Source organism: Homo sapiens, chromosome 10 (assembly GCF_000001405.40).
Source record: "Homo sapiens chromosome 10, GRCh38.p14 Primary Assembly".
Lineage (NCBI taxonomy): Eukaryota > Metazoa > Chordata > Mammalia > Primates > Hominidae > Homo > Homo sapiens.
The window spans coordinates 101,783,752-101,796,637 of record NC_000010.11 but is presented as its reverse complement, the minus strand read 5'-3'; the positions used below and the strand labels follow the sequence as shown (position 1 = coordinate 101,796,637).

Sequence of the window (12,886 nt, the reverse complement as noted above, 5' to 3'; positions counted from 1 at the left end):
GATCACACCATTGCACTCCAGCCTGGGCGATAGAGGGAGACTCCATCTCAAAATAAATAAATAAATAAAGGAAATACTGACCGTGCGCAGCGGCTCAAACCTGTAGTCCCAGCACTTAGGGAGGCCTAGGCGGGCAGACCACAAGGTCAGGAGTTTGAGACCAGCCTGGCCAATATGGTGAAACCCCATTTCTACTAAAAATACAAAAATTAGCTGGGCGTGGTGGCATGTGCTTGTAGTCCCAGCTGCTTGGGAGGCTGAGGCAGAAGAATCACTTGAACCCAGGAGGTGGAGGTTGCAGTGAGCCGAGATTGTGTCACTGCACTCCAGCCTGGGTGACAGAGCGAGACTTCATCTTGTGGGGCTGGGGGGAGGCTCTGTATAGCTCCTGTACATGGGAGACATCTACCCTTAGGCTCAAGAGACCTCAATATTGGTTGCTGGATGACAACATTTGCCTTCCAGGTTTCTGCTCAGGTTCTTATAATTCATTCTTATAGGGATTTAAACTTAAGTTTCTAAGGCCCTTAGGAATTTTGAACCTGAAATCTGGATTATTGAGCTTGAAATGTATTACAGAAAACATTTGATATTCAGTTTTTAATTTAAGAATTATTAAAAGTTAAATTCTTAATGATACACAGTATTGTTTCTTTCTCTTCTCAGGGTTTATCTCTGCACTGAGCATTTATGGTGGTAGCTTTCCAAAATTATATAGATACCTCTTACACAATCTCAAGCTCTTACAGCAAGCTTGTCCAGCCTGTGGCTCAACACAAGTTTGTAAACTTTCTTAAAACATTGTGAGTTTTTTTATTTTTTATTTTTTTTAAGCTCATCAACTATCATTAGTGTATTTTATGTGTGGCCCAAGACAGTTCTTCCAGTGTGGCCCAGGGAAGCCAAAAGATTGGACACCCCTTGTAACATCTTAGAAGTTTTAAATAATTATCTTCATATCCACATAGCTTTACAAAAGCTCACGACAGGGAGAGTATTTTCTTGGTTCTGTAGTAATTTCAGGGGGTTTACTGATTGGAACCCTTCCTTTTCCTCCTCTCTCCAGTCCAGCTGGCATTCAGTCCTTTAAACAATGTGGCTATGCAGTACTTTTGATTACTAATGACTTCTATTATCTTCTTCCCCATTGTGTACAGATGGGAGAATCCTCAGCACAAGTGTCTACTACTATTGGATGGACAGCGGCAGATGTTCACAGCGCGTCATGATTAATTAGTTTAAATTGCAAGGTTCTATCTGTGAGGTAGCTCAGGTAGATTTAAGGGCGGTAGACATGAACTGAAGTCACGTTTGCGCAGCGACTGAGGCATTAACCATGTTTTCATTTACACAGCTCTTCGTACATGCAGCTTTTTATTGTAATAGTTGGAAGTGCTAGTTATGTTGTAGTCTCAAAGTAGGGGGTAGGGGAAATTGGCTGATCTTAAAGTTTGAGAGGTATAGTTTTTTTCCTGCAGTGTAAATTACACTGAGTTACGGAATGGGACAGGTTCTCGTATAGTCTAAATTTTGACCCTGTTTCATATTTATTTTACAAATACTACATTTTATGTTTTTTAAAAGTACCCCTACCCTTGAAAAATGACAAACCAGATACAAACTCTTAATGGGCCTGAATTGTTAACAAAAAATTGGTTTGCTTTGGGACTGTCTGACTAGCACACTATATTTGTACTGATGAGACTGTTAACTTGAACAGGAGGTAGAATGCTGTCTTCCAATGGAAAAGAACTATATTGCGCTGCTTTATCTTGTCAGAAGACTAGGCAAGTGATTTTGATTTGGCCTCCAAACATTTGCCTTTATGTCTTACTGTTAGCTAGCGTTATTGCCTATTAAGTTAGTTAACTGGTGACCTTAAATAGAGACTTCTGTATTCCATGTGTATGTTCAGTGTATTGCAAAGATTATTATAATGGCTGGTCAGAGGAACCAGATACTGTCATACTTTTAAGAAAAGTATATTTAGCTCTGGGCAAAATAACATCAATTGGCTCTCCTTAGTTCTCAGAATCTGTCAGACTGGTATTATTAGCCAAGTCTGATTTTGAATTGTTTTTGTCCAAAAAAATTTTTCTCATTATGTTTCATTTTGTCAACTTAATTTCTTGTATTTTATTCTACTGACCTTAGTTTTCTGACAAGATTAATCCTTCTCCCCCGCCCTTTTCCCTTACCTGTACCCTTCCTCAAAATGTAAAATGTGACTTCAGACAGGTTGAATTCCTTCATGGGCTGTGATAATAAAGTGTCTAATTATCAGTCATTTTAGTTAATAGTTACTATAATTTTATGACAGAGCAAGCAGCTAGCTTGATTTGTATAATATCTAGGGAATATATAAAGTTGACTCAGACAAACTTGGGACTTACTTTCCTTCCAGTAATTAAAGAGTAGAACTGATAATACTGATTATTCATTAATTGGAGGAAGGAACATTAGTATTGAAATGCCGTTAACATTTTAAAAAATAATAATTATTATCATAGCCTTGCCCTGAAACCCTGATTATTGTTAGAGAGTTATTTCCACGAAGTGTTTGTCAGTTTGTTGGACATTTGAGACCCCAGGAAATCCCCTTTCTCGTAACGTTCTCCGCTTGGATCTGATCTCAACAGGGTGTCGTAGTCATTCTTCAGCACAATTCTTAATTGGAGACCAAGAACCCTGGGCCTTTAGAGGTGGTCTAGCAGGAGAGTTCCAGGTATCAATATGAATTCACAACTGAATTGACATTTTCTTTGTTTTATGAGAAACCTTATGTTGCGCATCAGATGGCTGGAAGGATTGGTCTGCCGAAGGCTTTCTAGTCCCAAATTCAATTTAGTTACATAGCTGGATTTTTAAATCAAATTTTCCTCCTCTTTCACAGTAATTTCTGAAGGAGATGCTGCCAATCCCCCCCGCGCCTGCGAAGCGCAGCGGCTCTAGGTATACACTTCACATTGTTTCTTTGCAGGTCGCACAGCATTTTAATCTGCGCCCGCAATGCACAATGCGCGCATGCTTGTCTGCCAGTGGAAGCTCCATGAACAAAAGATAGTAATTATGCCAATAAATGGTGAAAGAGCTTTTGGATATTTATCCAATTATTTTATAAATATAATGTGCTTGAAAGAATTGTCCATTGCTGAAAATATGAACAAAATAGGAAGTTTTTTTGCTGCTGGAATTTGTTCATGGACTTTCTAGGTGCTCTACTTTTCTCCCCCCAACAGGTGCTCTGCTGCGCACAGCAAACTGAAGCGCATTGCTTTGGGGATAAAGCGTCTCCTGGACAGATAACCCTCTTCAGACCAAACCTCTCCTCCTGACATTCTGTTCTGCCATCTTATCGTAGGGAGATGGTCTATCTAAGATAGGTTTTAAAAAAAAATAGATTTGTCATAATTGGAATAGGTTTGTTTTTGTTTTTGTTTTTGTTTTTACTGTAAATTTAAATCCCCATTAATATGCCACTAAAGCTGTAACTCAGAGTGGGTAATTTCTATTCAGAAGCACTCCCCTCCCCCAGCAAAGAGGTATTTCTATTAGTAAAGCATAGTACACCCCTCTTCTTTAGGTCTGCCTGCAGTAGCCAGTTAATATAAGTTGGTAATCTGCAGTGCACACCCATTTAAAAAAATGGATACCTTCCCCAAACTAATCCATCTCCTTTTTTTTCTTCCCACAGCGTTTGCTGCCAATTGATGGGGCAAATGATCTCTTTTTTCAGCCACCTCCACTGACTCCTACCTCCAAAGTTTATACTATCAGACCTTATTTTCCTAAGGATGAGGTAATTGTCTCTCTACCTACCAACTTGGTGTATGGGTATGGTGCACACTTAAAACTTAACCTTTTAACTCACTGGTTAAAGGAATCCTTCTGTCTTAAAACTGCAAACTTTAGATGGAGAAAGTTCATTAAAACATTCAGTGTATCTTGAGAAATTTAAGGAGTTTAGACTTTTAACATCTTGTGCCAAGTTCTTTAATTTCTCCCTTGAGAAAGTCAGATGAAATGTATTCAGAGTTGGAGTTACAAAATAGTTAATGTGTCTAAATGATGTGTTGTCCTTAGACTAATTATCTCTAATATATTGGTGTTCTGTAATTTTCTTTCAATTGTGAAGTATCTACAGGCTGTTGACAATCAGCTAAAGAAAAAAGCAAGACTGTTTAAAGACAGTAACAGGGCCAGGCGCGGTGGCTCACGTCTGTAATCCCAGTACTTTGGGAGGCCGAGGTGGGCAAATCACCTGAGGTCAGGAGTTCAAGACCAGCCTAGGCAACATGGTGAAACCCTTTCTCTATTAAAAATACAAATAGGCCGGGCTTGGTGGCTCATGCCTGTAATCCCAGCACTTTGGGAGGCCGAGACAGGCGGATCACGAGGTCAGGAGATCGAGACCATGGTGAAACCTTGTCTCTACTAAAAATACAAAAAAAATTAGCTGGGTGCGGTGGTGGGTGCCTATAGTCCCAGCTACTCGGGAGGCTGAGGCCGGACAATGGCTTGAACCCGGGAGGCAGAGCTTGCAGTAAGCCGAGATCATGCCACTGCACTCCAGCCTGGGGCGACAGAGCGAGACTCCGTCTCAAAAAAAAAAAAAAATAATAAATAATAAAAAATAATACTAAATTAGCTGGGCGTGGTGGCGGGTGCCTGTAATCCCAGCTACTCTGGAGGCTGAGGCCGGAGAATTACTTGAGCCTGAGAGGCGGAGGTTGCAGTGAGCCAAGATCGTGCCATTGCACTCCAGTCTAGGTGACAGAGACTCCGTCTCAAAAAAAAAAAAAAATTAGATGAGTATGGTGGCGTATGCCTGTAATCCCAGCGAATTGGGAGGCTGAGGCAGGAGAATCACTTGAACCCAGGAGGTGGAGGCTGCAGTGAGCCGAGATTGCACCACTGCACTCCAGCCTGGTGACAGCAAGACTTTGTCTCAAAAAACAAAAAAACCATCCTCTGCAAAAGCCAATTCTCAGTATTCCTAAAACCTTGCTGTTTTTTGCTGGTTTTACAAATCTGACTCAATGAATAAATCTTTATTTTACAAAGAAGAGGTGATATTTCTGATAGATGTTTCTGACAGGCCATTTTGTTACTCCCTCCCCAGACTGACTTGTGAGTTATATTGTTAGATTCTGCTGCCATTTTTCTTGATGTGTTGCTTAACTAGATTATATTTTCAGGCATCCGTGTACAAGATTTGCAGAGAAATGTATGACGATGGAGTGGGTTTACCCTTTCAAAGTCAGCCTGATCTTATTGGAGACAAGTATGTGATAAGTATTTGGATTTGAGAGTAGACCTTTCATAGTGAGGCTTATCAGGTTGAGGGGAGGTGATGACTGGAAATATATTTATTTATTTTAAATCCCACTTTGGCTTTAGTAAAATCTGAATATGTGTGCATTTCTAGTTTCTTACACCAAATGTAGGTTCCGTAAGTTCATGCAAGTACAGTGGGTCTTGGATCACTGAAGTCTGAATTTTATATTAGCAACTGAAAAGTTTACTGTGGCCTCTTTCCTTCTGAGCAGGTTAGTAGGAGGGCTGCTTTCCCTCAGCCTGGATTACTGCTTTGTCCTAGAAGATGAAGATGGCATATGTGGTTATGCCTTGGGCACTGTAGATGTGACCCCCTTTATTAAAAAATGTAAAATTTCCTGGATCCCCTTCATGCAGGAGAAGTATACCAAGCCAAATGGTGACAAGGAACTCTCTGAGGCTGAGGTAATACAAAGGTTAAGAATTATACTATGGTAATGGTCTTTTTTATTTATTTATTTTTATTTTTTATTAAAGTACTTACTAAAATGGAAAAGTACATAGATACATCATAAAATCTTAGTGCTTTCTAAATTAATTTTCTTGCAGAAAGAATTCTTATGGCTTATTCTTAGCATGACATTTTTCACTGTTTCCCCAATATTGGGACAGTTTTTTATTTGGGAGTACTATTGTAATATTTCCTCAGGTGAAAACACAATAAAGACAAAGAACATTTTTTTCCTCTGTTTTAAAGTTTCATACTTAAAGATGTTATGGTCTTGGTCAGGCACAGTGGCTCGTGCCTGTAATCCCAGCACTTTGGGAGGCCAAGGCGGGTGTATCACCTGAAGTCAGGAGTTCAAGACCAGCCCGGCCAACGTGGTGAAACTCCATCTCTACTAAAAATACAAAAAAAAATTAGCTGGGTGTGGTGGCGGGTGCCTGTAATGCCAGCTACTCAGGAGGCTGAGGCAGGAGAATTGCTTGAACCCAGGAGCGGGAGGTTGCAGTGAGCTGAGATGGCGCCACTGCACTCCAGCCGGGGCAGCAGAGTGAAACTCTGTCTCAAAAAAAAAAAAAAAAAAAAAAAAACAAGATATTATGGTCGTTTTGTTGAGTACTCAGGACAATTTAAGTAATTTAAATCTATTTGGTGGTTTCTCAGAAGGTTAATAACTTGCCTTCTGACTAATGCATTCTACATTGTGATTTAAAAATAAGAGCTCTTGAGAGTCTACTTTGTGATAGGAGCACTTCTTAATAAGTCTGTCCTGTCCCAACTTAAATACATTTTTCATCTCCAAAAAAGTTTTATGCCCCATGTTGGCCAACACATTACGTGATTATTTTGGTTTATACATCAGTATATGTTGTTGTTGTTTTGAGACAGTGTCTCACCTTGTCACCCAGGAATGCAATAGCACAAACATGGCTCACTGCAGCCTTGACCTCCCAGGCTCAAGTTATCCTCTTGCATCAGCCCTGCAAGTAGCTGGGACTACAGGTGCAAGCCACTACGCATCAGCTAACTTTTTTGTATTTTTTTTGTAGAGATGGGGTTTCGCCGTGTTGCCCAGGCTGGTCTCAAAGTCCTGAGCTCAAGCAGTCCGCCTGCCTCGGCCTCCCATACTGCTAGGATTACAAGCACGAGCCACTGTGCCTGGCCAGTATATGCATTTTTTAGATAGTTCCTTCTTGAGGATAGTTTTTATGCACAGTAAATAAGATATTTGGACCCCTACTTGTGATACTTTTTTCTTTTCTTCTATGTTGTTTCTCTTTTCCTTTTCTAAAATTCTCTACCCCTCTCCACCACACCAAAGTATTCATAGTCTTTTTATTTATTTATTTATTTTTTTGAGACAGAGTCTTGCTCTTGTTGCCCAGGCTGGAGTGCAGTGACGCAATCTTGGCTCACCGCAACCTCCACCTCTCAGGCTCAAGCAGTTCTCCTGCTTCAGCCTCTCGAGTAGTTGAGATGACAGGCATGTGCCACCACGCCCGGATAATTTTATATTTTTAATAGAGACGGGGTTTCTCCATGTTGGTCAGGCTGGTCTCAAACTCCCGACCTCAGGTGATCCGCCCTCCTCAGCCTCCCAAAGTGCTAGGATTATAGGCGTGAGCCACCGCGCCTGGCCTCATTTTCTTCATAGTTTATTTCTATATTTTACCTTCTGCCCTTAGTCACATGGCTGTGTAACAAGAGGCTGGTTTGGTGTTGCCTCGCTTACTTGGGATTACACTGACACTATGCTGGTGATTGAGCTGCTGATGTATTGCTGTTCCACATCTGACACTTTTCAGCATAAGAACTTTTTAAAAATTGTGGTAAAATATAAATAACATAAAATTTGCACATTTTCATGTAAGGAATACGTTAATTTAAAATATTTTATGTATTTTAAATGATTTTAGATTTACAGAAAAGTTGCAGAGTTAAAACAGAGTTTCTGTATACTCCTTATCCATTTTCTGTATTGGTGAAGTCTAAGTAACCAACATGGGTATATTATTAATCAGACACCAAACTTTATTCACCAGTTTTTTCTGCTAATGTCCTTTTCCTGTTCCAGGATCCAATACCACATAGCATTTAGACAAAATTTTTTTTTTTTTTTTTGAGACGGAGTTTCCCTCTGTCGCCTGGGGTGGAGTGCAATGGTGCGATCTCGGCTCACTGCAACCTCCGCCTCCCAGGTTCAAGTGATTCTCCTGCCTCAGCCTCCCGAGTAGTCGGGATTACAGGCGCCCACCACTAGGCCCAGCCAATTTTTGTATTTTTACTAGATACGGGGTTTCACGATGTTGGCCAGGCTGGTCTCAAACTCCTGACCTTGTGATTCACCTGTCTCGGCCTCCCAAAGTTCTGGGATTACAAGTGTGAGTGAGCCACCACGCCTGGCCAGAAAACTTTTTTTTTTTTTTTTTTTTTTCCCCGCCCAGGCTGGAGTGCGGTGGCAGGATCTCAGCCTACTGCAACCTCTGCCTCCCGGGTTCAAGCAATTCTCCTGCCTCAGCTTCCCGAGTTGCTGGGACTACAGGCGCACGCCGCCATGACTGGCTAATTTTTTATGTTTTTAGTAGAGACAGGGTTTTACTTTGTTGCCCAGGCTGGTCACAAACTCCTGAGCTCAGGCAGTCTGCCTGCCTCAGCCTCCTAAAGTGCTAGGATTACAGGCGTGAGCTACTAGACCCAACCCAAACTTTTTTTTTTTTTTTTTTTTAAGACAGAGTCTCGCTCTGTTGCCCAGGCTGGAGTGCAGTGGCGCCATCTCAGCTCACTGCAAGCTCCGCCTCCTGGGTTCACGCCATTCTCTTGCCTCAGCCTCCCGAGTAGCTGGGACTACAGGTGCCCGCCAACACGACCTAATTTTTTGTATTTTTTTTTAGTAGAGACAGGGTTTCACTGTGTCAGCCAGGATGGTCTTGATCTCTGGCCCAAGCTTTTAAAAGTGAAAACGGTGGCCAGGCACGGCAGCACACACTTGTAATTCTAGCACTTCAGGAGGCCGAGATAGAAGGATCACTCGAGCCCAGGAATTCGAGACCAGCCCTGACGATATAAATAGGGAAAGAGAGAGAGAGAGAGAGAGAGCGCGTGCACGCGAGGGAGAATGCCTGCCCCTCTCCAGCCTGGCCAACAGAAGGAGATCCTGTCTCAAAGAAAGTGAAAATGCTTCAGCTAGAATTATAGGATAATCCTGTGTGAGATAATTTACATAGTGACTGGAAGAGTTATTAAATATTGCTTTCTTGTTGCTAAGTTCTGTAGTTGGGTTAGATATCTAATGCGTAACTATTGTGAAAGTCAAGAGATTCTAATTTTTCCAGAAAATAATGTTGAGTTTCCATGAAGAACAGGAAGTACTGCCAGAAACTTTCCTTGCTAATTTCCCTTCTCTGATAAAGATGGACATTCACAAAAAAGTAACTGACCCAAGTGTGGCCAAAAGCATGATGGCTTGCCTCCTGTCTTCACTGAAGGCTAATGGTGAGTACATATTTGTGGAGTTGGTGGTATTTGGGCAAGATAGGGAAAGAACTATATATTTTTGGATATAAAAGGAAAGAAGTGAATTGTAAATTTATACTGCTTTTCCCACCTTTTATGATTTGGTTTCTGAATTAATTAGTGGTGAAGAATCGCATGTGTATTAATAATTGAGAAATGCTGGTTGGGCTTAGTGGCTCATGCTTGTAATCCTAGCACTTCGGGAGGCCGAAGTGGGAGGATCACTTGAGTCCAGGAGTTTGAGACCAGCCTGAGCAATATGGCTGAGACCCCATCTCTACCTAATTTAAAAAAAAAAAAAAAAAAGGCCGGGCACGGTGGCTCACGCAGCACTTTGGGAGGCCGAAGTGGGCGGATCATGAGGTCAAGAGATCGAGACCAGCCTGGCCAACATGGTGAAACCCTGTCTCTACTAAGAGTGGTGGCAGGCGCCTGTAATCCCAGCTACTCGGGAGGCTGAGGCAGGAGACTTGCTTGAAGCCGGGAGGCGGAGGTTGCAGTGAGCCGTGATCTTGCCACTGGACTCCAACAGAGCAAGATTCTGTCTCGGGTGCGGGGGAAGCTGGGTGCAGTGGCTCACGCCACTCATTATTGAATTTTTTGAATATGAATTTTTTTAATTGTGTGAAATGTAGGAGCTGGTGTAGACAGACAAGCCCTGTTTATATTAACCATCTCGAAGATTATAGTTTTATATCTATAATTATACTAATTAAGTGACTTATTTATGTTTTGAATATTTGTTTTATTTCTAGGCTCCCGGGGAGCTTTCTGTGAAGTGAGACCAGATGATAAAAGAATTCTGGAATTTTACAGCAAGTTAGGATGTTTTGAAATTGCAAAAATGGAAGGATTTCCAAAGGATGTGGTTATACTTGGTCGGAGCCTGTGACATTTGTTGACACTGTGAACTGTCCAAAAGTCTCTTAACTGCACCTTGTGAATGGTAGTTGAGGTCTTCATACAGTTCAGCCTCTAGAATGGTAACAAATCAGCCAATTGGATTCGAAACAAAGAAGACTATGTAAAACTCACCCATCACACTTTGAGACTACTCACTGGTTGGAAGAATATAGTATTGCAGCAAATCCTGTATGAAAGAGAGATGTGGGCTTCCTTTTTGAGTCTTGTGTTAGGTGCTGAGACCTTTTACATGGGCTTATACAGGGAGAGAGTCTTCAATAAATGTAGTCAGCACTATTTTCTGCATCCAGTGTGGTTGCGTTTCTCACCTGAGAGTAATCAAGATAACATCTGTCATCTTCCTTGGTTTATTGAGTGAAATGCCTCTCAGTCTTAGGGGACATGGCAGAGATGAAAGAAAGAAAGAGTGGGTTTCAGAAGTGTCAGGGTGGAGTGATTCCAAGTGGGATGGTTGTGGCATTAGTTTAAGCTGAATAAATAATTTCAATTTGGGGCAGTTATTCTGCTTTTTGTAAAGCCGTGGCCAATTGTCTCCTGTAATGACTGTTGGTTCAGGCATGTTGTACTTTGTAGGGACAAATGTGCATTTGTTTGTGGCAAAAGCCTACAATTGACAAACTTGTAAATTTCTTTGTATATAAACTAGCTGTAACCTGACTATCCTTTGTGTTTACTGTTTTTGTAAATTTTTTTCCTCTATAAATGAAAGGGTGTTGGTTCAGAATGGCACTTTGAATAATGTAAACCAGTGAAAAGTGGATTTTCTTTACTTTTGTCTTTGGGTTTGGGGTTGTTTTTGTTCTTTTTGAAGTTTTATTATTTTTAAAGTGCCTCCCACCTAGGCGTAGGCCATGACCATTTGGGGTACGAGAGCCTAATTTTGTAGGACTTAATCTGTTGAAAAGTGCAGTTACTTCTGGAAATTAACCTCAATATTAGGTCAGCATGTGAAATGTTGGATTTGACATGTCAGGTAGGGTTCAGGGACTGATTGGTCCCATTTGCCCTCAGGTCAGTTGTTTAATCTCAAGACCTGTTACTACTGATTTTATTAAATCAGAGTCTTTAATTCTTGCATGTTTGTATCTAATTTCTGAATGAATGAGCACACTTTAACCAGTTATTTACAGTTACCTTTTTCCTTTAACCGGATTGTGAAAGCTTCATGTATTTTAATTTAGATTCTGTGTTTTTAAGGGTTCTGAGCATGAAGCTGGCAGATAGTCGGCAGGACTCATTTTTTCATCATGGCTGGCTGATTTCTCCATAGATTGATAACAGTATTTTGTTATCTTGCTTCTCTGTAGTTTTGCATCAGCTGTTTAACTTTGAGCTGAGTGAGGGGAGAGGGGTAAAGAGAAAGAAACTTAAGTTTTCTTTCACAGAACTCCACCATTGTGGGCTTTGAGAGAGCCCTAAAGCATTGTACCTAGTGGTACCTAGTGACTTCCAACCAAAGCCTTTGAGTATGCACTAAATAGGTGAGAAGAAAGGAGAGAAGGTTTTTAGGTTAGAAACCTTTAACCGATAGAAGGATATGGTATGTTGTAAAGCTGGAACCAAGTTTGCATTTTTGAGGGCTTGAGATGAAGGGAAGACTCTTACCAGATAGTAAGACAGCTGAGTTTTCCTCAGTTTTCTCGTCTTAACACTAGTGGACAATTCTAGCATTTTGTTTGGAGGATTTCAGAGTTAACCTCATGGAATTCAGGATTTTTTAGCAAGTTTGCTTTTGGTTTTATCTTGGCTTTTAGTAATCATGTTGGCTGGTCTGGTCACAGGTGACTGTGAAACAGATGCCCTGGTCTTGCTTTCATCACTCTAGGATCATGAAGTGCTATGCTATTTCCTGGTTATGAATATTAAGGTTGGAATTACATTTTTATTGATTGTTTGGATCAGAGCTCAGTTCCTGTAGAAAACGAACTGTAAAAGACCATGCAAGAGGCAAAATAAAACTTGAAGTGAATGCTTGTCGTGTTGTATTGTGTGAATCTATTTCCTGTCTGCCCCCTCCCTTTTCTCCTCTTTCATGCCTCACCTACAAGCAGGTATTCTCTCCTCTCCACAGCTGTTCCAAGTTAGAGATTGGATCTTGAAGGCAGCCCTCCCCTACCTCCATCACCAGTAAGACTTCCAGATTTTCATTAAGACAAGAGCTAAGAAAAGTAGACTAGTTTTTAGCCAAGCCACCCCACCCTCTTGCCACAGTTATAACCTGGATGTGAAATAGGGCCTCTAGTTTGAGTTTTGCCATCTATTAGGATAGAAAGCACACAGTTTGCCTGATTCTTAAAAGGCGAAAGATGGCGCGAGTAGCATAAACTGACAAAATAATCCACGGCGCAAAGATACTCCTGGATGATTTGGAATTAAAAGCTCAAAAAGCGTGGGTGGGCCAGGAACAGCCAACACACATGAGCTAACTAGTCCTCTGCTAGCAAGTGCCAGCAGCTAAGTCTCAGTGAAGGCATAGCAAGTTGCGGGGTCTTTAGAGCAGGAAGAATTAAGAGAGGCTTAGCCGAGAGGACAGACAGGACAGACGTGTTGGGATGGAAATTCCTAAGGCTCCTCGGCTCTCTTGAGGCAAAGACAATCTGAGTGCATTTCCTTTGCTTGTAGCAGAAAAGCACTGCCCTGAACCCCACCTTTGCTGGGAGGAGTAAG

General features: G+C 41.3%; 1 protein-coding gene across 8 annotated transcripts in view; it reads left to right on the top strand.

The window, feature by feature from the left end:
* The window catches only part of OGA (O-GlcNAcase), a 33,995-nt gene extending 21,807 nt beyond the window's left edge, over positions 1–12,188 (top strand). For 4 of the 8 annotated variants that reach the window (NM_001142434.2, NM_012215.5, XM_047424514.1 and 1 more), the window contains 6 exons: positions 2,640–2,725; positions 3,695–3,799; positions 5,199–5,284; positions 5,550–5,742; positions 9,115–9,274; positions 10,051–12,188. In NM_001142434.2, coding sequence (NP_001135906.1) covers positions 2,640–2,725; positions 3,695–3,799; positions 5,199–5,284; positions 5,550–5,742; positions 9,115–9,274; positions 10,051–10,187 — 767 coding nt within the window. In that variant the 3' untranslated portion in view covers positions 10,188–12,188. Of the gene's footprint in view, positions 1–666; positions 2,726–3,694; positions 3,800–5,198; positions 5,285–5,549; positions 5,743–9,114; positions 9,275–10,050 lie in introns of those variants that run through there. The other 4 variants (XM_047424515.1, XR_007061939.1, XM_047424518.1 and 1 more) reach the window with 4 other exon arrangements.
* Positions 12,189–12,886: the final 698 nt, after the last annotated feature.